The sequence below is a fragment of the Homo sapiens genome, chromosome 6 (assembly GCF_000001405.40).
Source record: "Homo sapiens chromosome 6, GRCh38.p14 Primary Assembly".
Taxonomy (NCBI): Eukaryota; Metazoa; Chordata; class Mammalia; order Primates; family Hominidae; genus Homo; species Homo sapiens.
Genome location: NC_000006.12, coordinates 125,267,400 through 125,268,114, shown reverse-complemented (window position 1 = coordinate 125,268,114; position 715 = coordinate 125,267,400).

The following is a 715-nucleotide window of genomic DNA, read 5'->3' as shown; positions in this document are numbered from 1 at the left end:
ATATGTACAGCATCAGCTGGGTAGTTGTACCTTTTACAGACAATAGTGGCTGCAAGCCAAGCACAAGCTCATGTGAGTGGTCACAATGTGCCTCATGTGGCGGGGTTACATAATGTGCACAGTTGTGTGCCTGCACTCCAAACCCTCTGAGTCATGGTGCACCAGAAGGCCACCTTGGCGTACTCCTGACTAAAGCACAACGATTTACCTTACACTCTACCCCCTAGGCCAAGGGAAGTCTTTCAGGTAGGGATACATGCCCATAGGGCAGAGCCCTGGATCCATAACCCACAACAATACAGAGAGCGACAGCTCACTACTAGGATCCCAGCTATACTAGTTATGACTTTTAGGGCCCAGCATAGGCCAGAGACCAGGGATGCCCACCGTCTCTGCAGGGGGCCATCAATAAGGCTCTCAACCAACTTAATTTCCCATGAGACCCCTTGCAGAACTGCTGTTATGTTCTGCCAATTGTCAGGGATAAAGGTACAACATCGTGTTCCTAAAAGGATACAGGTGCCTCCTTGGGCAGCAGTTAGTATGTCTAAGGCCATTCAGTTTTGCAACACCACCTCAGCTTACTCCTGACTAAAGCACAGCCATTTTCCCTACACTGTTTTCCCCTTATGGATTGGTATTTTACCAGCTATTACATAATTCTCAATGCCCTTGTATTTGAAAAATGTTGATCCACCTCAAAGCCTTGTGGTGG